General features: G+C 57.9%; 1 protein-coding gene across 4 annotated transcripts, besides 18 other annotated features; it reads left to right on the top strand.

Annotated features, from left to right (window-relative positions):
- Positions 215–454: an enhancer, noted in NCBI's record as "active region_23721". NCBI's record gives its function as "activates an Ori minimal core promoter by ATAC-STARR-seq in GM12878 lymphoblastoid cells {active_cell/tissue: GM12878}" and the evidence as "EXISTENCE:reporter gene assay evidence [ECO:0000049][PMID:35858748]".
- Positions 2,072–2,811: an enhancer, noted in NCBI's record as "H3K4me1 hESC enhancer chr5:176925479-176926218 (GRCh37/hg19 assembly coordinates)". NCBI's record gives its function as "activates a minimal SCP1, AML or CMV promoter by ChIP-STARR-seq in primed H9 embryonic stem cells {active_cell/tissue: H9 hESC(primed)}" and the evidence as "EXISTENCE:reporter gene assay evidence [ECO:0000049][PMID:30033119]".
- Positions 3,030–3,079: an enhancer, noted in NCBI's record as "active region_23720". NCBI's record gives its function as "activates an Ori minimal core promoter by ATAC-STARR-seq in GM12878 lymphoblastoid cells {active_cell/tissue: GM12878}" and the evidence as "EXISTENCE:reporter gene assay evidence [ECO:0000049][PMID:35858748]".
- Positions 3,290–3,999: a silencer, noted in NCBI's record as "silent region_16700". NCBI's record gives its function as "represses an Ori minimal core promoter by ATAC-STARR-seq in GM12878 lymphoblastoid cells {active_cell/tissue: GM12878}" and the evidence as "EXISTENCE:reporter gene assay evidence [ECO:0000049][PMID:35858748]".
- On the top strand, positions 3,685–17,895 carry PDLIM7 (PDZ and LIM domain 7). Of its 4 annotated transcripts, none has more exons than NR_103804.2 (13): positions 3,685–3,761; positions 4,766–4,872; positions 8,612–8,763; positions 8,854–8,884; positions 9,364–9,482; positions 10,143–10,279; positions 10,383–10,419; positions 11,258–11,518; positions 11,662–11,896; positions 13,041–13,221; positions 17,099–17,219; positions 17,307–17,422; positions 17,559–17,895. NR_103804.2 is itself a non-coding variant. In NM_203352.3 (13 exons), the coding sequence occupies exons 2-13, from the start codon at positions 4,777–4,779 to the stop codon at positions 17,643–17,645; spliced, it is 1,272 nt and encodes a 423-aa protein (NP_976227.1). In that variant the 5' UTR covers positions 3,685–3,761; positions 4,766–4,776; the 3' UTR covers positions 17,646–17,895. The 4 variants fall into 4 exon arrangements, 3 of the variants coding, with proteins under 3 accessions (NP_976227.1, NP_005442.2, NP_998801.1); NM_203352.3 differs by lacking the exon at positions 9,364–9,482 and adding an exon at positions 9,869–9,885 and having other exon boundaries at positions 11,457–11,518; NM_005451.5 differs by having other exon boundaries at positions 11,457–11,518.
- Positions 4,292–5,033: an enhancer, noted in NCBI's record as "NANOG-H3K27ac-H3K4me1 hESC enhancer chr5:176923257-176923998 (GRCh37/hg19 assembly coordinates)". NCBI's record gives its function as "activates a minimal SCP1, AML or CMV promoter by ChIP-STARR-seq in naive and primed H9 embryonic stem cells {active_cell/tissue: H9 hESC(naive and primed)}" and the evidence as "EXISTENCE:reporter gene assay evidence [ECO:0000049][PMID:30033119]".
- Positions 4,410–4,489: a silencer, noted in NCBI's record as "silent region_16699". NCBI's record gives its function as "represses an Ori minimal core promoter by ATAC-STARR-seq in GM12878 lymphoblastoid cells {active_cell/tissue: GM12878}" and the evidence as "EXISTENCE:reporter gene assay evidence [ECO:0000049][PMID:35858748]".
- Positions 6,187–6,481: a silencer, noted in NCBI's record as "tiled region #583; HepG2 Repressive non-DNase unmatched - State 12:CtcfO, and K562 Repressive non-DNase unmatched - State 5:Enh". NCBI's record gives its function as "represses a minimal TATA promoter and a strong SV40 promoter by Sharpr-MPRA in HepG2 and K562 cells {active_cell/tissue: HepG2 | K562}" and the evidence as "EXISTENCE:reporter gene assay evidence [ECO:0000049][PMID:27701403]".
- Positions 6,187–6,577: a biological region, named in NCBI's record as "Sharpr-MPRA regulatory region 583".
- Positions 6,428–6,577: a silencer, noted in NCBI's record as "silent region_16698". NCBI's record gives its function as "represses an Ori minimal core promoter by ATAC-STARR-seq in GM12878 lymphoblastoid cells {active_cell/tissue: GM12878}" and the evidence as "EXISTENCE:reporter gene assay evidence [ECO:0000049][PMID:35858748]".
- Positions 8,370–8,911: an enhancer, noted in NCBI's record as "H3K27ac-H3K4me1 hESC enhancer chr5:176919379-176919920 (GRCh37/hg19 assembly coordinates)". NCBI's record gives its function as "activates a minimal SCP1, AML or CMV promoter by ChIP-STARR-seq in naive H9 embryonic stem cells {active_cell/tissue: H9 hESC(naive)}" and the evidence as "EXISTENCE:reporter gene assay evidence [ECO:0000049][PMID:30033119]".
- Positions 8,912–9,455: an enhancer, noted in NCBI's record as "H3K27ac-H3K4me1 hESC enhancer chr5:176918835-176919378 (GRCh37/hg19 assembly coordinates)". NCBI's record gives its function as "activates a minimal SCP1, AML or CMV promoter by ChIP-STARR-seq in primed H9 embryonic stem cells {active_cell/tissue: H9 hESC(primed)}" and the evidence as "EXISTENCE:reporter gene assay evidence [ECO:0000049][PMID:30033119]".
- Positions 9,487–9,781: an enhancer, noted in NCBI's record as "tiled region #15492; K562 Activating DNase unmatched - State 8:EnhW". NCBI's record gives its function as "activates a minimal TATA promoter and a strong SV40 promoter by Sharpr-MPRA in K562 cells {active_cell/tissue: K562}" and the evidence as "EXISTENCE:reporter gene assay evidence [ECO:0000049][PMID:27701403]".
- Positions 9,487–10,515: a biological region, named in NCBI's record as "Sharpr-MPRA regulatory region 15492".
- Positions 9,550–10,515: an enhancer, noted in NCBI's record as "H3K4me1 hESC enhancer chr5:176917775-176918740 (GRCh37/hg19 assembly coordinates)". NCBI's record gives its function as "activates a minimal SCP1, AML or CMV promoter by ChIP-STARR-seq in naive H9 embryonic stem cells {active_cell/tissue: H9 hESC(naive)}" and the evidence as "EXISTENCE:reporter gene assay evidence [ECO:0000049][PMID:30033119]".
- Positions 9,593–9,692: a silencer, noted in NCBI's record as "silent region_16697". NCBI's record gives its function as "represses an Ori minimal core promoter by ATAC-STARR-seq in GM12878 lymphoblastoid cells {active_cell/tissue: GM12878}" and the evidence as "EXISTENCE:reporter gene assay evidence [ECO:0000049][PMID:35858748]".
- Positions 15,842–16,557: an enhancer, noted in NCBI's record as "H3K4me1 hESC enhancer chr5:176911733-176912448 (GRCh37/hg19 assembly coordinates)". NCBI's record gives its function as "activates a minimal SCP1, AML or CMV promoter by ChIP-STARR-seq in naive and primed H9 embryonic stem cells {active_cell/tissue: H9 hESC(naive and primed)}" and the evidence as "EXISTENCE:reporter gene assay evidence [ECO:0000049][PMID:30033119]".
- Positions 16,558–17,273: an enhancer, noted in NCBI's record as "H3K4me1 hESC enhancer chr5:176911017-176911732 (GRCh37/hg19 assembly coordinates)". NCBI's record gives its function as "activates a minimal SCP1, AML or CMV promoter by ChIP-STARR-seq in naive H9 embryonic stem cells {active_cell/tissue: H9 hESC(naive)}" and the evidence as "EXISTENCE:reporter gene assay evidence [ECO:0000049][PMID:30033119]".
- Positions 23,066–23,566: an enhancer, noted in NCBI's record as "H3K4me1 hESC enhancer chr5:176904724-176905224 (GRCh37/hg19 assembly coordinates)". NCBI's record gives its function as "activates a minimal SCP1, AML or CMV promoter by ChIP-STARR-seq in primed H9 embryonic stem cells {active_cell/tissue: H9 hESC(primed)}" and the evidence as "EXISTENCE:reporter gene assay evidence [ECO:0000049][PMID:30033119]".

Here is a 26,675-nt window from a genome sequence, read left to right as displayed (position 1 = left end):
TCCTTTCCTTCATTACAAATCTGAGCTGCTTTGTTTCCTAGGGATTTCTGTGATATTCCAAGGGGACTGTGGGAAAGAAAGTCCTTGGAAACCACCAGGACGCTAGAGGCCTGGCCTGGAGCCTCAGGAGTCTCGGCCACCAGAGGGCGCTGGGTCCTTGTCCAGGTCCAGTTGCTACGCAGGGGCTGCCTGTGCTGGGAGGCTCCCCAGGGGACACAGACCAGAGCCTTGCACCAGCCCAAGGAATGGGAGCCTGGGGTCCTCTCTGCTGGAGGACTGCCAGGACCCCCAGGCTGCCGCCTCTTCCTTTGCTCATTTGCTGTTTCACTTTGTCAATCCTTCCTTTCTTCGTGTGTTCATTCACATCCACTGTGTGCTGGCCCTGGGGAAATGTTAGATAAGACACATTAGCTGTGTGTCTTCATTGTCCTAACAAAGAACACACCCTGGAAAGAGCACCGCAGAGAGTCCCCATTCCCCCATCTCCCTCCACACATGGAATCTGGAGATGCCTTTTCCACATCCAGATGTCTCTGGTGCTGTGGGATTCTTAAATAAACAAACATTTCATACAGAATGTGAGATGATGGAGATGCTATGGGGAAAAATAAAGCAGAGGGAGGGCCTAGTGTGTGATGCGGGTGAGGCATCCAGGGATTGCTGTTTCAGCTGTGATCAGGAAAGGCCCTGGGAGGAGGCCACATCTGAGCAGAGACCTAAATAAAGTTGGAAACCTGTTGCTGAGATATCTGGAGAAGTGTTTCAAGGGCCGGGCACCGGGCATGGTGGCTCACGCCTGTAATCCCAGCACTTTGGGAGGCCAAGGCAGGTGGATCGCTGGAGGTCAGGAGTTTGAGAGCAGCCTGACCAACATGGAGAAACCCCATCTCTACTAAACATATAAAAATTATCCGGGCATGGTGGTTCATGCCTGTAGTCCCAGCTACTCGGGAGGTTGAGGCAGGAGAATCACTTGAACGTGGGAGGCAGAGGTTGCAGCAAGCCGAGATCACACCACTGCACTCCAGCCTGGATGACAGAGCGAGACTCCGTCTCAAAAAAAAAAAAGAAAAGAAAAAAGAAAAAAAAAGAAAAGTGTTTCAAGCAGGGGAACTGGCAAGTGGAGAGGCCCTGAGGCAGAAATATGCTTGGCCTGCTGGAGGAAATGTGAGTGAGGAGGTCAGGGTGGCTGGAGTGGAGGGAGCGAGTGGTAGGAGTCAGACCCAGTTTATTCATATTCTGTAGGTCTTAAGGACTTCAGTTTTATTTTGAGTGCAATATGAGCCCACTGGAATGCTAAAAGCTGAGAGTGACATGGTGCTGTGATTCTGGCTTTAAAAATATCACTTTGGCTGCTTCGTGAAGACTCTGGAAGGGGCAAGGGTGAAAGCAGGGATGCCCGTTAGGAGACCGTTACAGGGGCGCAGGCACAAAATGGCAGTGGCTGGGACAATGGTGGCAGCAGCGGTTAGATGTGAACATGTTGAAGGTGGAATTTGCAGAATCTGGGGGAGGACAGAAGAGAAAGGATAACTTCATCGTTTCTGCTGAACCAGTTGGATAAATGTTGGTGGCACTTCTTGAAGTGAGGAAGGAGTTAGGAAGGTGGGAAAGGCACAAGTTTGAATTGGGCCATGATGGTCTGAGATACCTAGTACAGTGGTTCCCCAACCTTTTTGGCAGAAGGGACCGCTTTCATGGAAGACAATTTTTCCACAGACTGGGGGTGGGGTGGGGATGGTTTCAGGGTGGTTCGAGTGCAGTACATTTATCATTAGACTCTTTTTTTTTTTTTTTTTTTGAGATAGAGTCTCGCTCTGTCACCCACACTGGAGTGCAGTGGAGCCATCTTGGCTCACTACAACCTCTGCTGCCCAGGTTCAAGTCATTCTCCTGCCTCAGCCTCTCAAGTAGCTGGGATTATAGGCATATGCGCCACCACGCCCAGCTAATTTTTGTATTTTTAGTAGAGACGGGGTTTCACCATATTGGCCAGGATGGTCTCGAACTCCTGACCTCAAGTGATCCTCCCCCGCCTCAACCTCCCAAAGTGCTGGGGTTACAGGCGTGAACCACTGCACCCGGCCCATTTATCATTAGATTCTCATAAGGAATGAGCAACCTAGATCCCTCGCATGCACAGTTCACAATAGGGTTCACGCTCCTATGGGAGTCTAATGCTGCCGCTGCACTCAGCTTCTCTGGCTTGCCGCTGCTCACCTTCTGCTGTGCAGCCCAGTTCCTAACAGGCCACAAACGGGGAGTTGGGGACCCCTGATCTAGTAAACATCTAGGCAGGGTTTTGGATAATGGAGTTAGAGTTCCTGGGGAGAGGTCAGGCTGGCCATGAAACATGGGATGCCTTTGCATATAGGTGGTGTTGAAAGCCACAGGACAGTACGGGGTCTCAGGGGGTGAGCATAAAGAGAGGCGACATCAGATGGCCAAGGCCAGAGGCAGAGGAGGATGGGAAGGAGGGGCCAGTGGGGCAGGGGGAAGCTGTGAAGCCAGGGAAAAAGGGTGTTTCGCGGAAAAGGATCAACCTGGACCAGTGCTGCCCCTAGGCAGGGCAGGATGAAACTTAACCACCACGGATTCCATGGCCCCATGGCCTCCAGGCCACAGGGGACCTTGAGAAGAGAGATCTCAGGGGACGGGTGCGGACAAGAGCCCGCCTGGCATGGCTTCAAGAGATAACTGAAGGAAAGCAAGTGGAGACGCGATAAACAGACAACTCCCTGGAGGAATTTTACTCTCGAGAGGAGAATTAAAGGGTAGTAGCTGGAGAGGGATGTGGGGTCAAGAGAAGGTCTTTAACGACGAGAACTCTCACGGCGGTTTGTGCAGAACAGGGTGGGTGTGATGACTGTGGATGGAGAGGGGAGAACTGCAGCGACTCTGTCCTAGGAGGAGGTGATGGGCCGGGACCACCAAGCGAGTGGAGGGTGGACGCCCCTTCCCTCACCCCGACACCCGCATGTGCTCAGTGTCCGTGCCGCCGGCCCTAGTGCCTGGGCTGAACGCGGGGCCGGGACTCTGAGGACGCCTCCCAGGCGGCGCAGTCCGCTCTGGCCAAGGTGGAGCGGGACGCGGCGCTTCCGACGGTGCGCGGGTCGGCTCGGGGTTGCAGGGACATCCGGCGTCCGCTCCTGCCCTGTTTTCCTGCCTTCGGCAGAGCGTTGCGCAACTCTAGCTTTAAACGCCCCTGTCCCCCTCAACTTGTCTCCCCCAGCCCCTCTGATTTACAGATTCTGCAGTCCCCGAGGGTTGCGCCTACGATACCGACACTCGCGGCAGCCCTGCGAGGCGAGTATGATCGTCCCATTTTTCGGAGTAGCAAACTAAGGTTCAGAGACTACTATGTCCCAGGTCGGTCTGGTTTGAAGGTCCGCTTTCCTCTCCCTCCGCCAGCGGGCGGTGCGAGGGACTGGGCGAGGCAGCGCTTCCCTAAGGAGGCGACCCGCAGCCCCGGCCCCCTCCCGACTCCGCCCCGTTGCAGGGCCCGGGTCGGCGAGGCCTCTCAGCTCTAAGCCCGACGGGACTTGGTGATTGGGCAGGACGGAAGAGCTGGGTGGGGCTTTCCACCAGCGGAGAAAGTCTAGTGGGCGTGGTCGCGACGAGGGCGTGGCCTGGTGCCCCGCCCCCGTCCGCGCGCTCAAAGTGGAGGGTGGCTGTGGGGGCGGGGTCAGAACACTGGCGGCCGATCCCAACGAGGCTCCCTGGAGCCCGACGCAGAGCAGCGCCCTGGCCGGGCCAAGCAGGTATCGACGACCGCGCGGGGCGTCTTGGGCTGCACCAGGCGGGCGCCCGGGGCCTGCTGAGGACCACAAAGGGCACTGGGGGTCGTGGTCCAGGCTGTGCTTCCTCCCGCTGGCCCTGGCCCCTGCCTCCGCCCCCGCCCCCGCCTTCCTGCCGCTAAGCCGGCTGCGGCGGGGCCGATTGGCGCCTGCGCCGCTTCCTGCGGCCGGGGCCAGTCTAATGCATGGGGCCCGGGCGGGGGACTAAGGGGAAACTGAGTCACGTCGGTGTGGGAGCAGTTCTGTGTGGGAGGCACCACCCCCCACTGGGCTCGGGGAAGGATCCCCCTCCAAGCTATGCTTGAGGGTCCCAGCCCCCATCTGTCTCCACAGGGGCCGCACCCCACTCCCGCCTTCCCCTTCTTCAGCACCCAGGGGTCCCGCCCTGGCTCCCAGCAGCCTCGACTGGTCCCGGAATGGCTAGGAGGATCCGCTGCAGCCGCCTCCCTCCCCTCCCCTCCCCTCCCCTCCCCTCCCCCCCCCCTCGCGTCCCAAGCCCCCGTGTGCTCCCTCCGCTGGCTCTCCGCACAGTGTCAGCTTACACGCCTTATATAGTCCGAGCAGGCTCCAGCCGCGGCCTGCCTGCCGGGACCTGGGGGCGGGGGAGAGGAGAGCCGGCCCCTGACTCACCCGGCCGCCCGAGGCTCCAGGCTGGCTTGGGGGGAGGCCGCGCCAGTTTAGTCCCTCGGCCCACCCCTGGTTGCAAAGAACCTCAAGCCTGGATTCAGGCACCCCTCACCGTTCCAGTCCCAAGGGGAGGGGGGCTGCTCCTGTCTTTCCAAAGTGAGGTCCGCCAGCCAGCAGCCCAGGCCAGCCTGACAAAATACCTGCCTCCTATGGCTTGGGCGTGCTCAGGGGCTGCCCGTGCCTGCCTGGCCCCTGTCCAAGGCTGGTATCCTGAGCTGGCCCGGCCTGCCTGCCTGCCCGCCCACCATGCTGGCCACTCACCTTCTCTTCTCTCCTCTCAGGAGCCGGCATCATGGATTCCTTCAAAGTAGTGCTGGAGGGGCCAGCACCTTGGGGCTTCCGGCTGCAAGGGGGCAAGGACTTCAATGTGCCCCTCTCCATTTCCCGGGTGAGCCTAGGTTTGGGGAGGGGGCTCCCCCAGCGGTCTTTCGGTGCTTAGGTCTCCAGAGGGTGATGGGGGGAGTCCTAACAGGAGCTGGTCAGGGGCCAGCAGGCCAGGAGATGTCTAGGTCCGGAGATGTAGTGGTACCTGCCTGCCACAAGGACTCCCAATGAGGTGGATACTGGGAGGGAGCACCCAGGCTTCTCCAGCCCTGCACTGTACCCGATGCTGTTCTCCCAAGCTCCTGTGGCCACCTCTGAGGGCTGGAGGGAGGCTCATTGTGCAGGATGGGAGCCTAACATTTCAGGAGGTATCTAAACTTGAGGTGGCAATGCTTGGAGCCAGGCCCCAGGCAGGACACTGTGACTATAGGATTTCACTTCAGCCTCACTGCCGCCCAGGGAATAGCAATCCTCATCCCGTTTTTCCAGATGAGAGAAGAACTCATGGAGAGGTGGCGGGGCTCGCTCATCGAGTCCATGGTGAAGCAGGGATTGGAATTGAGGCACAGCATGGCGTACATTTTTTGTGGGTAGAAGGGGTCTCTCCCCAGCCTATGTAAGGACCCACATCCACTGTTCCCATTCAGGATGTGGTGGCCTTTGACCCCAAGCAGAAGTGTAGGACAGGGCTCCATTCTAGGGGCTTAACTTCAGCTTCCAAGAGCCTGCCCTGGTGTGGGTGGAGCTGGAGGCTGGCTCCTCCCTGTAGCAGGGGGATTGCCTTATAAGCCCAAGAATGCAGCCCCACGCTGGGATGGCCAACAGTGGCTGCGGTCTGCAGAGCTGAAAAGGGCTGGCCTAGGCCTGGCCCCCTGAACCCCACTGGTGGGCCTCTCAGCTGGTCACCAGGCTGCAGCTCCAGCTATATGGTCCAGTTGTGAGACACAACAAATTGCCTGCCCAGAGTGGGTGAGGCCAGCCTGTCGGCTGGCATCTCTGACTGGCCTGGGGGTCAGGAGGGGGTGGGGACTTCCTGCCCCTATATCCGCCTGCCCCAAGAGACCCACCCAGGCGCCGGGTGGGCAGGCAGCTGTTGTCAGGAAGCCCAAGGCAAGCCCAGCCTGGAGGGGCCCAGAGGGTCGTGGCCTGAGGAGGGGCTCAAGCTGGAGTCTGTCTGTAGGAGCTGGGCGTGGGGGTTAGGGTGGGCAGGCCAGCAGTGCTCTTCTCAGGGGTCCTTTGATGGCATTCTCCTGGAACCTGCCCCGCCAGCAGGGTAGTGAGGCAGTGGTTGCCCTATGACACACGTCCCACTACATAGCCCTCACACAGCCCTGAAACCTACCTGACGTCCTGCTCCCTGGGAAAGTGCTGGCCCAGTGTGTCTGGGGAGCCTGAACCTCAGTTTCTTCCCTGATGGAGATGACTTTCAGATATGGCCTGTTGGGGGCACTCCGGGCTCCAGCTCCCTGGTCAGCATCCCTGGCATGTGGGCGGGGCCACTAGCTGATCCCAGCCCTGGAGTTGGACCTGGGCCCACATGGGTGGGTGAGGTGGGCTTTTCTGAGTTAGGCCAGCCCCCTCCCCCTCCCCTGACCCCAGAATGGAGGGAGGTGGGAGGGGCAAGGGCTGGCTGTGGGCCCAGGCCTGGGAGATGAGGTAACGTCTGGGACTGGGGGGCTGGGCTGCTCAGGCTGACTCACCCCCACCTCATGCAGGGTCCAGCCCCCTGGCTTTTTCCCTCCTTGGTTCCTCTGGCCTTACCCTGCCCCTGGCTTGAGCCCCTCCCTGCCTCTCTCCAGCCACCCGCCCAGCGCTGTCTTCTGCTCTCCTGCTGCCCTCCCCACGCTCTGAACACCCCTCATCCTCTGTGCTTCCTGCCCTCCTCACTCTGGGAAGGGAAGCCGTCCCCGCCCCCCACCCCCTCTCCAGGAGCCAGCTAGCTGCACCCCAAGACCCCCACCTCGGGCTCAGCCCACAGCTCCCAGGAGCCAGCCCTGTGGGCAGGGAGTGGCTGGGCCAGGTTTCCCTTCTACTGACTCACCATGACCTTGAGTAAGTCACTTCCCCTCTGGGGTGTCACTTCCCCATACACAGTATAAGGGGTTGATTTAGTTGGATTGAACTAAAGGTGAGGGAGTGGCTCAGGGTGTCTCCAGGTGGGCTGACCCCTCAGTTGGGCCCCCATGCTCAGCAGAGGTGGCCCACAGTGGTGGAGCCTTAGGGTCAGAGACACTTCCTGGCTCTGCCTCTTACTAGCTGGGTGACTTGAGGCAAGTTGTTTAACCTCTCTGTGTACATTTGCAAGTGCAAAATGGGTAAAATCCCAGATTACTCCACAAGGTTGTTGGAAGATTCAGTGTCAATATGTAGCATAGTTGGTGCTCAATAAACTGAAGCAAGTCTTCTTATCTAGCGAGTGAGGAAGGGGCCGCCGAGCTCTCTTAGCCTTCTGACCTCCTACGCAAGCAAGAGGTCATGTTGAGCCCAGCTCGCCTTTCTTTTCCCAGTGCTGTCAAGCTCTGTGCCTGGCTGCCCTGCCCTCTGACATCTCTCTGAAACCTCTTGCCTCCCCTCTCCCTGCCTCAGCTCAGTCTGTGCACTGACCCACCTGAGGAGCCTCCTGGGGCCACTGGCAGCCTGGACCCCCCCAGATCCCCCCCACCCAGTGAAATTGTCTTCCAGCACTGCCTCACAAAAGCCTACTTGATGCAGTGCCAGGCCTCTTGCCAGATGGCTGGGTGGTCCCTTAGGCTTGGACCCAGTCAAGCTGCCCTGCCTGTGTTGCTGGGGCTGGGCTAGAGGCCTGGAAGGGGTTTATCAGGGTCACCCTCTCAGGGCCTGGGAGATACCCAATCCCAGACATTAAAACTGCCAGTAGCCCCTCTACCTTCAAAGCCAAGTCCTGGTCCCTTCCCCTGGCATTCAAAGCCATCGTAAGTGAACTCTCACCCGCTAGGCAGCACACGCCATTCTCCTTTACCGAGGCCCACCGCTTCCTCAAAGTCATTCCTGATGGTCTCAGCTCATGCTGGTGGCAGCCATTTCTCCCAGCCTACTGTCTCTACTCATTGCCACAGGAACCAGGGACTCCCAGCTCAAGAGCCTGAAGGATTGGGGTCAGGGGAAATTGGCAGTCGAGGGCTTGGGAGTGACAGCCATGTATGGCCTACGAAGTCCCAGCTGTCAACTTAGGTCCCATTCAGGCAGTGTTCACAGGGAACCGGGAGATAACAGGGCCTGTTCCTGGCTCTCAAAGGGTCCCAGCAGACCCCTATAGATGGCCCCCGACAGGGTGCTGGGGGGTGAGAGGTCCATAAGAGCCCCCGGTGGTTTCGGGGAGGAAGCTGCCCCCTGCATGGGCCAGAGGGCATATCTGGTAGGTGGAGTGGCCTGGGCAGGAGGCCAGCAGGAGCCTCAAAAGGCAATGGTCCTCCTGAAACACTTGGGCTTTAGCCTGAGCGTGGCTGTTTGTGGACATCATAGCAATTTCTGGACTGTGGGGGAGGGTGGTGGCGGTGAATAGATAAGCATCGTGACTGGGGAAGCTCAGGTGAGCACCACCTGAGGGAGAGGGTCTGGCAGTGAATAAATAAGCAGTGTGACTGGGAAATTGTGAAGCTCAGGTGAGCGCCACCACCTCCTGGGTTGCTTTAGTGTCCAGCAGCTGCCTAGAACTATGTTGAATGAAGAGCTCTCTGGGTTCTGGAAGTGGGACAGCTTTGGGTGGGGCAGTGTTACCACCGTCAGCCTGGCTTGGGTCTGCAGGGTCCAGGGCCTCGGTCACTTTGCTTCTCTCTCCACAGCTCACTCCTGGGGGCAAAGCGGCGCAGGCCGGAGTGGCCGTGGGTGACTGGGTGCTGAGCATCGATGGCGAGAATGCGGGTAGCCTCACACACATCGAAGCTCAGAACAAGATCCGGGCCTGCGGGGAGCGCCTCAGCCTGGGCCTCAGCAGGTATGCGGGTGGACATGGATGGGTGCGCCCGCGCTGGCAGTGGGGATCCCTGCGGGCCCGGCCCGCTGTCACGCTTTCCTTCTCCTCCAGGGCCCAGCCGGTTCAGAGCAAACCGCAGAAGGTACGAGGCTGGCCGGGACATCCGGGCGGTGGGCGGTGTGGGCTTGGACGGCCAGGCCTGCTCGCCCTCCTGGCACATTCTCGGTACCCCAATCCCTGGCCGGGAGTGGAGGGCAGAAACCGGAGCTAAGGCGGGTCTAGGGCCCTGGAGTTGAGCCAGGGGCTGCTGCACGGTCCTGGCACCACGCATGTCCGCCTGTCTGTCCGCCTGTCTGTCCGCCTGCTGCCTCCCGCCGCCGGCGCTGCGTGCTCGCCCGCACTCGGTCAGCCCTCGGTCCTGCGTGGACTGAGATCGCCACTCCCAAATGGGCCCCTTGAAACCTGAGTCGTCCTCTCCCCGTAGCCTCCAAATAGATGTAGGGGGTGGGGTGGGGGTGGGGGGCTGGAGCTGCCGCTGTCCTCTGCTGCAGGCGCCCCACTTCCACCCAGGCCCCCACCTTACCCTGCCCGCCCGCCCTGCCCGGCTGTGTCTCTGCCCAGGCCTCCGCCCCCGCCGCGGACCCTCCGCGGTACACCTTTGCACCCAGCGTCTCCCTCAACAAGACGGCCCGGCCCTTTGGGGCGCCCCCGCCCGCTGACAGCGCCCCGCAGCAGAATGGGTACGTCGGCCCCTGCCCGCCCGCGCCCACGCCATCAGGCCCACTGTGGCCCCACGCCCGCTGCCCGCTGCTGCTCAGTCTGTGCTGCGCCCCAGCCCGGCGGAACCGTGCGGCAGCGCCCCCTGGCGGCCGGGGTGGGGCTGCAGGCACAGGGCCCCTCCCGAGGCTGTGGCGCCTTGCAGGGCACCGCCCTGGGGAGGGGTCTCTGAATGACGCCGCGCCCCCTGCTGGCGGCTGGGGGTTGGGTTGTGGTGTCGGGCCAGCTGAGCCCCAGACACTCAGTGCCGCCTTGTCCCCGGCTGTTCTGACCCCTCCCCGTCTTTCTTCCTCTCCTGTGTCTGTCCCTTTGTCCCTTTATCTGTCTGTCTGTCTTATTTCCTTCACAGGTGCAGACCCCTGACAAGTCAGTGAGCCCCCCTCTGCCTGTGCCTTTCTTCTTCCTTTTGGCACTCTGGGTGGCGGCCCCTCCCCACCCTGGCTGCCCTCCTCTCCACTTCGCCCTCCTGTCCTCTCACCTACCCGCCCAGCAGGGCTCCTGGCCTCACCCTTACCCACTCCCTCCCATCACTGTAACCCAAACCCACATGCACCAAATCCTGGGAGGGGCTGCCCCCACCGCCCACCCCCAGTGTGGGGTTCTGAGCCACACCCTCCCCACAGACAGCCGCTCCGACCGCTGGTCCCAGATGCCAGCAAGCAGCGGCTGATGGAGAACACAGAGGACTGGCGGCCGCGGCCGGGGACAGGCCAGTCGCGTTCCTTCCGCATCCTTGCCCACCTCACAGGCACCGAGTTCAGTAAGTGCCAGCCCAGGGCAGGGGGTACTTTCCTCGCCCCCAGCCCAGGCGTGATCCCTGACCCTGTGTCTTTTTTGGTCAATGCCTGCCTCTGCCCTCTCAGTGCAAGACCCGGATGAGGAGCACCTGAAGAAATCAAGGTACAGGGACGGGCACCAGCCCCTCTCCCACCTCCTGCCTCTTCCATTCCAGCTACTGCCCTGTGTCTACTCCTGAGGCTCCCAGCTGGGGCTCTCAATTCTCCCTTCCTTCCTTCCTTCCTTCCTTCCTTCCTTCCTTCCTTCCTTCCTTCCTTCCCTTCCTCCTTCCTTCCTTCTTTCATTTCTTCCCTCCCTCCTTCCTTCCCTCCTCCCTCCCTGCCTCCCTTCCATCTCTCCTTCCTTCCACTTCTTCCTCCCTCTCTCTCTGCCCCTCAGGGAAAAGTATGTCCTGGAGCTGCAGAGCCCACGCTACACCCGCCTCCGGGACTGGCACCACCAGCGCTCTGCCCACGTGCTCAACGTGCAGTCGTAGCCCGGCCCTCTCCAGCCGGCTGCCCTCTCTGCCTCCCTCTTTCTGTTCCTCCTGCCCAGGGCACCCCCTTAGTGCCTCCAGCTTCTGCCTACCTCACCCCCCCTTTCGTGCCCCTGGCCTGAGCCTCCTGCTGGCCTGGCCCTGGCCGCCCACCTGGGTTCATCTGACACTGCCTTCCCTCTTTGCCCTGTGGTACTGCTGTCTGCCAGGTCTGTGCTGCCTTGGGCATGGAATAAACATTCTCAGCCCTGCTTGCTCTGCCTGTCTTCTATCTTTGTGGACCTGGTTTGCATTTGGGGTGTGGGGGTGTTTCGTGGTTCGGACTGTTTGGGCCCTGCCGTCCTCGTTTTCAGTGGGAGGGGGTACCTGGCAAAGGGGCCCTGCCCTGCCATCACAGATGGCTTCCTGGCATGAGGGGAACCCCAGGAGCTGCCTCAGAAGCGGGAGCCCTGCCTCGTCTCCCAGCTAGAGACCGCACACCAGCTAACTGGACATTGCTAGGAGAAGCTGCCCTTCCCATCCCTACCCCAGTGGGACCTGGAATCCAACTCGGCAGTTTCCACGCCCCCAGTCATCTCCCGTGGGGCCAGCAGGACCCAGGTTGGGGGGTGGGGCCATGTCAGGAAGCTCAGCCATGCAGGGCCTTGAATGGCAGATCTTGCAGCCAGGTGCCCAGGACAGAAGCCCCAGCCCCAGCCTCATCTACACCCCAGGAGCCCTGGCCTGGTGAGAGGGAGTGGGCTCGGGCCTGGGCAAGGGTGGGCAGCCTCCAGGGGCATGGGGGTGGTGGGCTTCTCTCAGCTGCCTGGGGCTCCACCCCCGTCCTTTGGGGTCCCTGGGCACCCCTTTAGAGTCACTTTCCCCGGCAGGCCCTACCGCCCCCAGCCCTACCAGCCGCCCGCCCTGGGCTGTGGACCCTGCGTTTGCCGAGCGCTATGCCCCGGACAAAACGAGCACAGTGCTGACCCGGCACAGCCAGCCGGCCACGCCCACGCCGCTGCAGAGCCGCACCTCCATTGTGCAGGCAGCTGCCGGAGGGGTGCCAGGAGGGGGCAGCAACAACGGCAAGACTCCCGTGTGTCACCAGTGCCACAAGGTCATCCGGTGGGTGGCCTGTTCCTGTCCGACCCTGGCTTTCCCATCCTGCAGCCCAGCCCCACCTGTCTGCCCACCTGTCTTGCCTCAGCTGCGACTGGGGGGAATAAGGATTCAGTTCTCAGCTGGAGTAGGAGTAGGGACCTGGGCTGGGTCCTCCCATTCTTAATCCCACGCTACCTACCCCAGCCCACCCACAACAACTGCTAGCAGCATCTGCCGTGGCGAAATAGCCGAAGGGCCAACCATAGGCTGAAGCTGCACCCCTACCTTTGCTGCTCTCTGGGCAAAGAGGGGCCTGCCCCCTCCCAGCGCGTCTGCCCCTCCCTCCTGCTCTCTGTCTCCCTCTGCTCTCAGAGCATACAGGCCTGGAGCCACTCCCTCTGTGCACTGCCCCGTGGGGCCAAGCAGCATCAAACACCCCCCAGCATCAGCGTGCCGGATTCTAGAGCCTTCCTAATTCGCAGGCCTGGCCTGCTCTCATCTCTGTCAGCTCTTTTTTTTTTTTTTTTGAAACAGAGTCTCACTGTGTTGCCCACGTTGGCGTGCAGTGGCGCGATCTCGGCTCACTGCAACCTCTGCCTCCTGGGTTCAAGAGATTCTCCTGCCTCAGCCTCCTGAGTAGCTGGGATTACAGGCACCCGCCACCATGCCTGGCTAATTTTGTATTTTTAGTAGAGACGGGGTTTTACCATGTTGGCCAGGCTGGTCTCAAACTCCTCACCTCAGGTGATCTCAGGCCTGCCTTGGCCTCCCAAAGTGCTGGGACTACAGGTGTGAGCCACTGTGCCCAGCCGACTCTATCAGCTCTTGCCAGGTAGAACAGGCAGGCCAGCAGGACAGGGCAGCTCCAGGGTTTGCCCAGGGGCGGCTCAGCTTTTATGAGGCTCCAGTCGTCAGCCCTTCCTCCCGGGGTCCTCCCTGCTCTAAAGCTGCCTCTCCTGTCACCAGCAGTTCAGTGTGGCGGACTGGCTCTGTAAGCTTCACGGCTGCCACGGTCACTTCCCAAGCCTGTCTTCTATCCTATGTGGAAAATGGGGAGAATGAACTGTCCCTCCCAAGGCCTCCTGGTGGGTGGTCAGTCAACCTGAAGGGGGCCAAGACCCCCACCTCTCTGCGTGTGCTCCCTCTGACCGCTCTCGCCTCCCTGCAGGGGCCGCTACCTGGTGGCGCTGGGCCACGCGTACCACCCGGAGGAGTTTGTGTGTAGCCAGTGTGGGAAGGTCCTGGAAGAGGGTGGCTTCTTTGAGGAGAAGGGCGCCATCTTCTGCCCACCATGCTATGACGTGCGCTATGCACCCAGCTGTGCCAAGTGCAAGAAGAAGATTACAGGCGTGAGTAGGGCTGGCTGGCGGGGAGGTGGTCCCAAGCCTGTCAGTGGGAACGAGGGCTGCTGGGAAACCCACAGTCCAGGTCTCTCCCCGAGTGAGCCCTCCGGGTCCTTACCAGCGTAATAAATGGGCTGCTGTACTGGCCTCACCCTGCATTAGTCAGGATGCTCTTAACAAATGACCATGTTCCTGCTCAGAAACCGCCCAAGGCTGCAAAGAGCAGGAGGACCAAGCCAGGAGAAGCCCTGGGCCCTCCTGACTCCCACTTTGGGCTCTCCCTGCCCTGGTGAAATGACAGAACGGCCAACTTGACACGCTGAAGCTGCTCTGTCTCATGCGTCCTCCTCATTTCTGGATCCAGAGCCAGGGCTGCCAGGAGTAGCCAGAGAGCTCTGTGTGGTGATGTTCATATTAGTGAGGTTTACCTTGACCACGAGCAGTGGGAAACTCAAAATAATGGTGGCTTATTTCTCATCTAAAAACATCCCGGGGTGGGTGGTCTGGGACTGATCTGGTGGACCCAGGCTCCGCCTTGTTGCTTGACTGTTGGCAGCACCTGCTTACTTACCACTCATGGTGCAAGATGACACTTCAGCCTCCGCCAAAATGCTCACCTTCCAGCCAGCAGGAAGTCGGAAGGAGAAGAAAGGGGACAGAGCCCCATGGCGTCCATCCTTAGAGGATGCTGCCACCTGAACCTCTGCTTTCATCCTGTTGGTCAGAACCCAGTCACATGACCACACCCAGTGGCAACGGAGGCTGGGAAATATAGTCTTTATTTTGGGCACCCATGTGTCCAGCAAAACTGGGGGTTCCATCAGTCGGCAAGAATGGGAGAGTGGCCGATGCAGTGGCTGATGCTTGTATCCCAGCACTTTGGGAGGTCGAGGTGGGCAGATCACCTGAGGTCAGGAGTTCAAGACCAGCCTGGCCAATATGGTGAAACCCTGTCTCTACTAAAAATAAAAAAATTAGCTGGGTGTGCTGGCGCACCTGTAGTCCCAGCTACTTGGGAGGCTGAGGCAGGAGAATCGCTTGATCTTGAGAGGTGGAGGTTGCAGTGAGCCAAGATTGTGCCACTGCCTTCCAGCCTGGGAGACAGCAAAAAAAAAAAAAAAAAAAAAAAAAAAAAAAAAAAAGGGCCAGGCACGGTGGCTCACACCTGTAATCCCAGCACTTTGGGAGGCCGAGATGGGCGGATCACGAGGTCAGGAGATTGAGACCATCCTGGCTAACACGGTGAAACCCCATCTCTACTAAAAATACAAAAAAATTGGCCGGGCATGGTGGAGTAGTCCCAGCTACTCGGGAGGCTGAGGCAGGAGAATGGCGTGAACCTGGGAGGCAGAGCTTGCAGTGAGCCGAGATCGCGCCACTGCACTCCAGCCTGGGCGACAGAGCGAGACTCTTGTCTCAAAAAGAAAAAAAGAAAGAGAAATCTGCCTCCCAGCCTTGGGCTCCTGCCCTACCAGCCCACACCCCTGGTAGAGCCCCCTCTCCCACCAGCTCAAAGCCCAAGTTCCTTCACTGTGACCTTGTCTGCTCCTCTAAAACAGGCAACACCAGACAGTGAGAAGAGCCAGCCAGACATGGGCAGAAAACCTATTTCTGTGATCTACTGGCTGTGTGAGCAGGGGCTAGTTGCTCTCTCTGGGCCTCACTGAAGAGAAGGGTGGCACTATGCTAGGGCCGGCACGGTTGCAAGGTAGATGTAAGATGGGGTACAGGTGTTGTGGAGGGCAGAAATGCACCATCCGAAGGCTACATGTCCCCCACACTTATGTCTTGCTTGGCCCACACTGTTTCATTTTAAAATCAGTAGCAAACAATTTAAAAAATCAGAAGATTTGCCTGCATGATGCAGTGGCTCATGCCTGTAATCCCAGCACTTTGGGAGGCCAAGGTGGGAGGATTGCTTGAGCCCAGGAGTTCAAGACCAGCATGGGCACCATAGCAAGACCCCTGTTTCTACAAAAAAAAAAAAATTAGAAAATTAGCCAAGTGTGGTGGCATGCACCTGTGGTCCCAGCTACTTGGGAGGCAGAGGGAAAGTGAGATCTCCTGCTTTTTATTTCTTTATGTATAATGATAGGGTCTTGCTCTGTTGCCCAGGCTGGAGTGCAGTGGCATGATCACTGCTCACTGCAGCCTTGATCTCCTGGGCTCAGAGGATCCTCCCACCTCAGCCTCCCAAATAGCTAGGACTAGAGGTGCCCACCAGCATGCTCAGCAGATTTTTAAATCTTTTTGTAGAGATGAGGTTTTGCTATGTTGCCCAGGCTGGTCTCGAACTCCTGGCCTCGAGCGATCCTCCCACCTTGGCCTCCCAAAGCACTGGGATTACAGACGTGAGCCACTGCGCCCAGCAGATTTCTCTTTAACACCTAGATTTCAGCCTGAGCCAGGCAGGCATTCCTGAATGAACCAGTAGTACTGCTCCCAGAAGAAGAGGTCCTCCTCCGTGTGACACAGTCCCCACTTGGCCCTTGCAGGGATTGGATCTGGGATCCCTGGATTTAAACTCAGGGCCATCCTCATAACAGCCTCACAAGGCTGGGATTAGCTTCCCAGTTCACAAGGGAAGAAACCAAGACTTGAGAAGGTCAAGGTCTGGCCAGACCCACACATCTTGGACCCTCATACCGCCTCGAGGCCCCATGCTGCCCTCTGCCTGCTCCAGATGTGAATACTGCTGGCCCTGGCTGGCCCCGGCTGGCCCCGAGGGTCCTAGGGATGAACAGCCCAGCCCAGGGAGAGCTCAGCCCCTTGTGCCTCTGCCCCTTCCCACCTCCTGCGGAGGCCAGTCGACTCACCCACAAAGGGCCAGGCACTGTGGGGATAGATCAGCTAACAAAACAGTTGATGCTTCCTGCCCTTCTGGGCCTTACATTTTGGCTGGAAGAAGAGGGGAGAGGCAGACTGTAAGCAATAAGCGCAATAAGTAGGTTGCCTGGAAGTAATGTTAGATCACGTTACGGAAAACAGGAAAGAGCAGAGCGACAAGTGCTGGGGTGCGTGGTGCAGGGAAGGCAGCTGGCTGCTGCTGGTGTGGTCAGAGTGGGCCCTCATGGAGAAGACTGCATTCGAGCAGAAACTTGAAGGGGGTGAGGGGTGAGCCTAGAGATATCTGGGGCAGAGCAGTCCAGGCAGAGGGGACAGCCGGTGTCAAGCCCAGGACAGGAGTGTGCCTGGTGTGCCAGTTTCAGGCAAGAGGCCAGTGTGCAGAGGCAAGGTGAGAACGCAAGGGAGAGCAGTGGCGGAGACGGTTGGGAACGAGGTCAGACCTGCTGGCCTCCAGCCTCTGCATGGGGCTTGGCTCTTGCTGGGAGCAATGGGAAGCAGTACACAGTTTCATGCAGGGGGAGAAGGCCTGTCTTGGGTTGCAGGGGCACGCTGTGGCAGCTGGGATCAGAGAGAGGAGCTTGTAGGCCAGTTGTTATGTGGTCCCACGGGCCAGATGGCCATGGCTTACCTCACTTCAGGGAGGCTGTGAGAAGCACTCAGAATCTGGATGTGCCTTGGGGGTGGGCCCCACTGGATTTCCTGGTGGACCTGGTGTGGGGTGTGAGAGGAGGGTGTGTTTGGCTGCAGCAGACAGGAGAATGGAGTTGCCATCCGCGTGATGGGGATGGCTGTGGGAGGAGAGGTTTGGGGTGAGGGAATCAGGAACTGAGTGCTGGACATGGCAAGTCTGAAGGCGCAGTGGTCGTCCACTCAGAGACCTTGGAGTTGGAGATGGAGGTGTGGGAGTCCTGAACAGTTAGATGTAGTGTTTACCGCGAGAAGGAACAGGGCTTGCGGCCAGCCCTCCTGTGTTCCCGTGACCCAGGGCAGGGCAGGAGGGGCCTGAGCCTGCCGAGTGACTGGGACCTCCTTCCAGGAGATCATGCACGCCCTGAAGATGACCTGGCACGTGCACTGCTTTACCTGTGCTGCCTGCAAGACGCCCATCCGGAACAGGGCCTTCTACATGGAGGAGGGCGTGCCCTATTGCGAGCGAGGTACCCACTGGCCAGTGAGGGTGAGGAGGGATGGTGCATGGGGCAGGCATGAATCCAGGTCCTCTTTCTCTCTGCCCCCATTCTCAGACTATGAGAAGATGTTTGGCACGAAATGCCATGGCTGTGACTTCAAGATCGACGCTGGGGACCGCTTCCTGGAGGCCCTGGGCTTCAGCTGGCATGACACCTGCTTCGTCTGTGCGGTGAGAGCCCCGCCCCTCGAACTGAGCCCCAAGCCCACCGGCCCTCTGTTCATTCCCCAGGAGATGCAGGAGAAGTTGGGAAGGGGCCTCTCCTGCTGCCCCCAACCCCATGTGACTGGGCCTTTGCTGTCCTTAGATATGTCAGATCAACCTGGAAGGAAAGACCTTCTACTCCAAGAAGGACAGGCCTCTCTGCAAGAGCCATGCCTTCTCTCATGTGTGAGCCCCTTCTGCCCACAGCTGCCGCGGTGGCCCCTAGCCTGAGGGGCCTGGAGTCGTGGCCCTGCATTTCTGGGTAGGGCTGGCAATGGTTGCCTTAACCCTGGCTCCTGGCCCGAGCCTGGGGCTCCCTGGGCCCTGCCCCACCCACCTTATCCTCCCACCCCACTCCCTCCACCACCACAGCACACCGGTGCTGGCCACACCAGCCCCCTTTCACCTCCAGTGCCACAATAAACCTGTACCCAGCTGTGTCTTGTGTGCCCTTCCCCTGTGCATCCGGAGGGGCAGAATTTGAGGCACGTGGCAGGGTGGAGAGTAAGATGGTTTTCTTGGGCTGGCCATCTGGGTGGTCCTCGTGATGCAGACATGGCGGGCTCATGGTTAGTGGAGGAGGTACAGGCGAGACCCCATGTGCCAGGCCCGGTGCCCACAGACATGAGGGGAGCCACTGGTCTGGCCTGGCTTGGAGGTTAGAGAAGGGTAGTTAGGAAGGGTAGTTAGCATGGTGGCTCATGCCTGTGATCCCAGCACTTTGGAAGGCCAAGGTGGGCAGATCGCTTGAGGTCAGGAGTTCGAGACCTCATGGCCAACACGGTGAAACAGCGTCTCTAGTAAAAATACAAAAATTAGCCGAGTGTGGTGGGGCATGCCTGTAATCCCAGCCACTCAGGAGGCTGAGGCGGGAAAATCACTTGAACCTGGGAAGTGGAGGTTGCAGTGAGCTGAGATCACACCACTGCGCGCGAGCCTGGGTGGCAGATGGCAGAGCGAGACCCTGCTTCAAAAAAAAAAAAAAAAAAAAAAAAAGAAGGGTAGTTGTAGTTGGGGGTGGATCTGCAGAGATACGGTGTGGAAAACAGCAATGGCCACAGCAAAGTCCTGGAGGGGCCAGCTGCCGTCCAAACAGAAGAAGGCAGGGCTGGAGAGGGTAGCCCTTAGGTCCTGGGAAGCCACGAGTGCCAGGCAGTAGAGCTGGGGCTGTCTCTTGAGGTTAGGGCAGGGCAAGGCACAGCAGAGTTTGAAATAGGTTTGTGTTGTATTGCAGAAAAGAGGCCCCAGAACACTGAGGGAGTGCAGGAGGGAGGCTGGGAGGAGGAGTTGCAGCAGGGCCTAGGGGCGGGGGCCAGGCAAGGGAGGGGCAGAGAGTAATATGGCAGAGATGGGACCCAGTGGCAGGTCCGGGGGATGAGGGATGGAGAGAAGGACAGGAGCGTTGCCAGGCATCTGGCCTATACCAGACATGCTCACGCTGTCTCCCGCGAACCTCCTAGCAACCTTGCGCCGTTGTCTGCAATCACTTATTTCATTTTTTCTTTTTTAACTTTAATTTTTTTTGTTTTTAAGAGACAGGATCTCCCTAGGTTGCCCGGGCTGGTTTCAAACTCCTGGGCTCAAGCAATTCTTCCTCCTTAGCCCCAAAGTGCTGGCATTACAGGTGTGAGCCACCATGCCTGGCCCACTTATTTTCTAGATGAGGCACAGAAAGATTGGGAGACTTGACCAAGGTCACGCTGTCATTGAGCCATGAGCCAGACTAGAATCCAGGCCTGAAGCTGGGTGCGCTGTCCCAGGACTGGCTGGCACTGAGTACCATTTGCCAGCGAGCATCTCTCTGGGAAGCTGACTTCTGCCCGGTACCTGGAGGACTGTAGACCTTGGTGGTGGCGCCGTCACTCTGGGGCTTCCTGCCTCCCACTGATGCCCGCACCACCCTAGAGGGACTGTCATCTCTCCTGTCCCAAGCCTGGACTGGAAAGACTGAAGAGAAGCCTTAAGTAGGCCAGGACAGCTCAGTGTGCCATGGCTGCCCGTCCTTCAGTGGTCCCTGGCATGAGGACCTGCAACACATCTGTTAGTCTTCTCAACAGGCCCTTGGCCCGGTCCCCTTTAAGAGACGAGAAGGGCTGGGCACGGTGACTCACACCTCTAATCCCAGCACTTTGGAAGGCTGAGGCTGGAGAAGGGCTCCAGCTTAGGAGTTCAGGACCAGCCTGGGCAACATGGTGAGACCCTGTTTTGTTTTGTTTTTTGTTTTTTTGAGATGGAGTCTTGCTCTGTCGCCCAGGCTGGAGTGCAGTGGTGCAATCTCAGCTCACTGTAACCTCCAGCTCCCAGGTTCAAGCGATTCCCCTGCCTCAGCCTCCCAAGTAGCTGGGACTACAGGCTTGCGCCACCACGCCCAGCTAATTTTTTTGTATGTTAGTAGAGACAAGGTTTCACCATGTTAGCCAGGATGGTCTCGATCTCCTGACCTCATGATCCGCCCGCCTCAGCCTCCCAAAATGCTGGGATTACAGGTGTGAACCGCTGCGCCCGGCCTGGTGAGACCCAGTTTCTACAAAATATTAAAACATTAGAGGCCAGGGCTGGGCGCGTTGGTTCACGCCTGTAATCCCGGCACTTTGGGAGGTCAAGGCAGACAGATCGCCTGAGGTCAGGAGTTCCAGACCAGCCTGGCCAACACGATAAAGCCCTGTCTCTACTAAAAATACAAAAATTAGCCAGGCATGGTGGCACACGCCTGTAATCTCAGCTACTCGGGAGGCTGAGGCAGGAGAATCGCTTAAACCCAGGAGGCTGAGGTTACAGTGAGCTTGAGATCGTGCCACTGCACTCCAGCCTGGGGAATAGAGTGAGACTCTGTCTCAAAAAAAAAAAAAAAAAAAAAAAAAAAAATATATATATATATATATGTGGCCAGGCGTGGTGGCTCACACCTGTAATCCTGGCACTTTGGGAGGCCGAGGTGGGCAGATCACCTGAGGTCAGTAGTTTGAGACCAGCCTGGCCAACATGGTGAAACCCCGTCTCTACTAAAAATACAAAAATTAGCCGGGTGTGGTGGTGCATGCCTGTAATCCCAGCCACTCAGAAGGCTGAGGCAGGAGAATCCCTGGAACCCAGGAGACAGAGGTTGCAGTGAGCCAAGACTGCGCCACTACACTCCAGCCCGGGCAACAAAGCAAGACTGTCTCAAAAAAAAAAAAAAAAAATTCAGCTGGGCCTAGTGGTGCATTCTTGTGGTCTCAGCTACTTGGGAGGCTGAGGTGGGAGGATCACTTGAGCCCAGGAGGTTGAGGCAGCAGTAAGCTGCCCTCCAGCCTGAGCAACAAAGCGAAACCCTGTCTCTTTTTTAAAAAAAAAAAAAAGGGAGAGAGAGACAAGAAGGGTCTCTGCTGTGTTCTCTCTTGGAATCCTGGAGAATGAGTGCAAAGCTTCGTGTGTGATTTTCATGTTTTTTTTTTTTTTCTGCCTGCCTCGGCCTCCCAAAGTGCTGGGATTACAGGCATGAGCCACCGCACCCAGCCTCGTGTTATTTTCATGATGCCTTGCCGGAGTGACTTTATGTCAGTGCCTGGCATATAGTGGATGCCCAGTAAGTGTTTGTTGAATGATCACGAGGCACCTGTGGGACATTTAGGAGACACATTCAGGAAACAGCTGAAGATTCAAGTCTGGATTCACCTCCACTTCAATTCGGGAATGAATTTGAGACAGGCTCAGGGCAGTCAACATAAATGCTGGTCACTGAGGCCTAGGGAGAGCCAGGAGCAGGGCCCACGCAGGGAGCATCAGGGGTCAAGCAGATGGGATGTGGTTTTCTTTCAACCTGGACATCCTTGGCATGTTAACCACAGAGTAGCTTTCACTTCCACAAGGAAATGTGCTCTCTCCCACTTCTCTTGAACTGTGAAGCCCTCTCCGTCCGTCCTCGGTTCCCATGGATACAAGCGAGAAGGGCACAGGGACGGATGGTAACTGTAGCCGGGAGCCCGTCTGGGAACGCCGAGCAGCACGGCCAGATCTGCCAGTTTATCGACAGCGTCCAGAGGTTCAGATTTGTATGTGAGATCTGGTGTTTGAATATTGGCAACTACATTAGATTTTTTTTTTAATCCTATTAGAAAAATAACAAATGTGGGCCAAATCCAGCATGAGGACGGCCAGGGCCCAGCATAGTGAGGAGGTGAGACGCCGGAACACCAGCATCACAGCACTGGGCAGGAACAGCACGGCCAGGGCAGGAGGACAACAACCTCCAGGGAAGGGGCAAGGAAGCCTGGACAGGGCAAGAGCGTGTCAAGAAGCTGCCGACAATGTCAACCAGGCAGATAAGGCCGAGGAGTCCCTCGTGGCATTTCACAACAAGGTGACATTTGCCAGATCAGTTTAGCCGAGCTGGGGCGGCTGCCAGGGTTAAAGAGGAACAAGGCGGGAGGGTGGGGAGGATGTGGAAGGAGAGAGTGCAGACAGCTCTTTTAAGAGGTTTGGCTGTGGTGGGCCAAGATGACCGCCAAGCTCAGCTGAGAGGCCAGGGTGTGGGTGGCGGGAGAGGCCTGGGAGGCATCTGCTGGAGGATGGTGGGAGAAGATGGGAGAAGTTGGGAGGGGGCCGTAAGGAGAGAGTGGGGTGAAGGGCAGGGGCAAATGCAGAACCGTGGAGCTGGAGCTGGCCTAGAGTGGGGCAGGAGCAGGTGCCAGGCACCTCCTTGAAACAGCCACCCTCACTCCGTAGGCCGGAAACATGATGCAATCACATGTCATTTAATCATCATAACACCTTTGAGAACACATTATTACAGGCATGTTTCAGATGAGGGTACTGAGGCTCAGAGAGGATCAGTGACTTGTACAGAGTCACCCAGATGGAATGGCCTGGACTGCCACTCCAAGGATCAAAGGCCAAAGTGTTCCCTGCTGACCCACCAGCACTCCCCAGCTCCTCTCATGCGTCCCCCATCACCTGGGCTCCCATCCAGACTTTGCCGCTCCACCAGCTGTGTGCCTCCGGGCAAGACACAACCCTTCTTTGAGCCTTGGTTTCCCCATCTGTCAAATAATAGCAGCTGGGCACAGTGGCTTACACCTGTAATCCCAGCACTTTGGAAGGCCGAGATGGGTGGATCACCTGAGGTCAGGAGTTCAAGACCAGCCTGGCCAACATGGTGAAACCTCATCTCTACTAAAAATACAAAAATTAGCCAGGCGTGGTGGCGGGCGCCTGTAATCCCAGCTACTCAGGAGGCTGTGGCAGGAGAATTGCTTGAACCCAGGAGGTGGAGGTTGTGGTGCGCTGAGATTGCGCCACTGCACTCCAGCCTGGGTGACAGAGTGAGACTCCGTCTCAAAAAAATAATAATAGCAACCACAAGCTGCAAAGATCACAGTGTTCCGAAGCTGGGGTGCAAGGCTGTGCGGGGGGAGGCCATGGGGACCGGGAAGTAAATGTCTTCGTGCCAGGCAGGAGAGGCCATTAGCACCCTTGGAGGGGGCAGAGCCCATGGCAGGGGGCTGAGTGGGTAACTGGAGAGGCAGCAGGCAAGGGAGGGGTTTTTCCCAGCTCAGAATGGCTTGAGCTCATTTGGATCAGCAGGGAGAGAGGCGGTGGAGGGCGAGGAACTGTTTTGCCAGAGTACAGAGGCAGGCCCTCATGATTCTGCCACTGCCTCCTCAGTGCAGGGCCCCACATGGCCTTGGTACACACATAAGGTACACACACCATCCTCAGACTCTCCAGGTGGCCCTGCCACAGGAAGGGAGCTGAGGCCCTGGGCTAAAGGGCTGGCCACAGGTCGCCCTTTGAACTTGAGACTGCCTAAATCCAAAGCTGACCCTGAGACTGGAAGAAGAACCCCTCCCAACGGAGGCCTTAAAGGAAGGAGGGGAGGGGACCAGGGTTCCGGGGGTCATGGTGGAACAAGAACAAGCTCGCTGACTGACAGCCTGGGGGAACTCAGGACACCAGCACCAGCCACTTGGGAGATTGTGCGGGGGGAGCCACTTCTGAGCCAGTGAGGACCCCAGGACCAGCCTGGGCCCTCCCGCTCAGGTTTTTGGAGTACTGGAAGATCAACTGAGATTTCACCCAAGTTTCTTGCCACTGACAAAATGACCACTACTTGGGTACGAGGCAGATTAGGTAGGCCTCTCAGCTGCAATTCAAGCTAGTGTAAGCAAAAACGGGGATAATTGAACTGAAAAAGTGAATGGCTTCAGACCTGGCTGGATCCAGGTACCCATGGCGGCTACCGGGACCCTCTCTCATGCTCTCCACCTCTCGGCTCTGCTGTCCTCAATGCTGGCTTCATTCTCAGAAGGCTCTCCCCACTGTTGGCAAGGATGGCCCCCAGCAGCTCCAGGCCCATACCTGGCCAGCTCAGCAGCCCCAGCGGACAGAGGGAGCCTTTCTTTTCTTTTTTCTTTTATTTTTTATTTATTTATTTATTTTGAGATGGCGTCTCGCCCTGTGGCCCAGGCTGGAGTGCAGTGGTGTGATCTCAGCCCACTGCAACCTCCGCCTCCCGGATTCAAGCGTTTCTCCTGCCTCAGCCTCCTGAGTAGCTGGGACTACAAGCATGCAACACCAGGCCCAGCTAATTTTTGTATTTTTAGTAGAGACAGGGTTTCACCATGTTGGCCAGGATGATCTTGAGCTCTTGACCTCGTGATCTGCTCGCCTCGGCCTCCCAAAGTGCTGGGATTGCAGGCGTGAGCCACCGCTCCCGGCAAGGGAGGCTTTCTTAATGGCGCCAGCGAAAGTCCGAGGGCCAACGCCCATTGGACTAACTTGGGTCATGTGTCTGTCTCTGAAGTAGTCACTGGGTCTGACCCTTCCTGGCTTGGACGACATACTCCTGTTTAGAGCTGAAAGTGGAAAGTCTGCCAGAAAACGGGAGGCGGAGCAGGCCTGGCAGGGAGGTCCATGGCACTTCCTCCCCTCATGCCCAGGGCCCCGCCCCCGACTCCACTCCCAGACCTCAGAGCTGGAGCATCTGCAACTTCTGATCAGACTCCAGCCCACCTCACCCCTGCATGCAGAAATAGGGGTGCTACAAGGGGAAGCGGGGAGGGTGTGTGGGGTACCGAAATGACCTGGGACAGACCTGGGTTCCCATTCAGACTTTGTGTCTGAATGGGACACAAAGCTGTGTGTCTCCGGGCAAGTCACTGACTCTCTCTGGGCCTCAGTATTCCCATCTGTAAACTAATAATAACAATCAACACATTGACAGCACCTACTATGTCCTGGTCTCATTTTAAGCACTTCCTAGATACTTTTTGAAAATCCTCAAACTGACCCTAGGAGGTAGGTACCATCACTATCACCCCCATATTACAGTTGAAGATGAGTGATTCAAGATAGGTCAGGCACCAAGCTCAAGGTCACACCATTAGCAATAGACTCCTCAGGAGCAGAGCTAATGTGAATGAACGTGGCTGGCCCGGCGCCGGGGGCAGATACCTGGGAACAGCCATGAGCTTTGTGATGATCAAGGGGCAATCTGTGTGTGTGCTTGGTGGGATCTTGCAGAGGTTGGAAGAGGCCAGAGAAGACTCCACCAGCTCTTGCTGAAAAAGTCTTGCAGCCTCCCCTCAGCCCTAAAACCTTCCCGGAGAGGTGTGGGGGAGCACAGAACAGGAAGGTGGGGGTGGAGGGAGGAGGGTGGGGCTGTGAGGAGGGAGGGAGGGAGGGGGTTCTCCTTCTAAGCCTCCATCCAGTCCCATTTTATTCTCACAACAGGTTATCAAAAGGAAACTCAGAGAGGGGAAGTGTTTCAGCCAAGGTCACACAGCAAAGGCCCAGTTTCTGGATCTCAGTCCTCCCTTGTCTCATCTTTTCCACTCTGGGGATCCAGAAGTCATTGGCCCAGCCTCCCGCTGTGTGTAGGGGGAGCTCATGCTCTGGGGGTGGGAGAGACCGACCTGTCAGTGACTTGAAGGGTGATCGGTTTGGGGGTGGCAGACACGAAGTCCTGGTAGGAGGAACCCACCAGCCTCCCACCCACCAAGGCTGAGTGTGTGGGCTTCAGGGGCAACAGCAGCTGAAAGGAGGCAGGTTCTCAGAGGACAGTGACCAGTGGCCACCCACTCCCACCAGTCAGGGCAACTGAGAACTATGGGTCCACTGAGTTTGGCAAGTTAGGGGTTACTGGTGACCTTGGCCAGAGCAGTGCCAGAGAAAATGCGGGGAGGAGGAGACAGAGGACAGATGTCTGTCTGCATCCTATAGAAATGAGGGGATGAAGATAACCTGGAAGGGTGACGGGTGCGGAGACCAGGGGAGTGGGCTCTAGGGCATGCCAGCAGGGAACACCCTTGCTTCCCTGAAAATAGGGAAAACTGAGTGCAGGGTGTATGGGAACTCTCTATACTATCTTTGTAACTTTTCTGTAAATCTAACACTGTTCTAAAATAGAAAGTTTATTTAAAAATGTTGATGGCAAGAGGTGAGAGTGGGCGTGGCTGGAGAGTTTGTAGGTGGCTGGTGGGGAGGCAGGAATTTGAGGAAGGAAGAGCTTAGATGCATTTAGGGCTTCTGTTTTTTGGATGCAAAATTGAGTGTGCAGGAGGCTGGGGGGTGAGGGGAGCGGGGGGGGCGAGGAGCTGTGAGCTAGGACAAATCAAAGGAAGCTGGAAGAGGCTGAGGCCACAGATGCTCATGGCCAGCCATCTGCTGCCCCTCCCCGGCTGCAGGGTCTCCCTCCTCACCAGAATCAGGCTCTTCATGCCTAAGGGTGGGGGATGGCTGAAGCTCTGTCCCTCCATGGCTCTCCCCACTTCCCTTCCCCACCATGTGTCACCCACTCCCTTAGGGATCCCCATGGCAGGCCAACCACACCTACTGGCCAGTTGGTCTAGGGCACAGGGCCTGGCTGTGTCCCTGCCTGGGTGCCTCACTCTAGTGGTGGCCATGGAGAAATTGCCATGGCCTGTGGTCCCTAGACATAGTGGGCACTGACTTCCCAAGGCAGGGGCCTGTGAGTATTTTGAGTTTTAAGAGGGTTCTCCCAACTCCAAAGCGCCAGGAACACTGCCACATAGGCAGCCCTGCTCTCCTTCTCTTGGCATAGCCAATTACCCAACGCAGAACTCGGAGGCCTGGCTAGAACCACCTCCTCCTCCGCGGTGCGGTTGGGACCAGGTGAAGTTTGCTCAGGGAGGTCGAGGTTGGAGGCTTTGTAGTGGTGGAAAAGGCTTCTAAGCGCTGTGGACGGTTTCAGGGTCCCAACCTAGCAAGGAACGGAGTTCTG

This window comes from Homo sapiens, chromosome 5 (genome assembly GCF_000001405.40).
Source record: "Homo sapiens chromosome 5, GRCh38.p14 Primary Assembly".
In the NCBI taxonomy this organism is placed as follows: Eukaryota; Metazoa; Chordata; class Mammalia; order Primates; family Hominidae; genus Homo; species Homo sapiens.
Note: the sequence above shows the minus strand (reverse complement) of the source record. Positions and strands in the feature narration are given on the sequence as shown.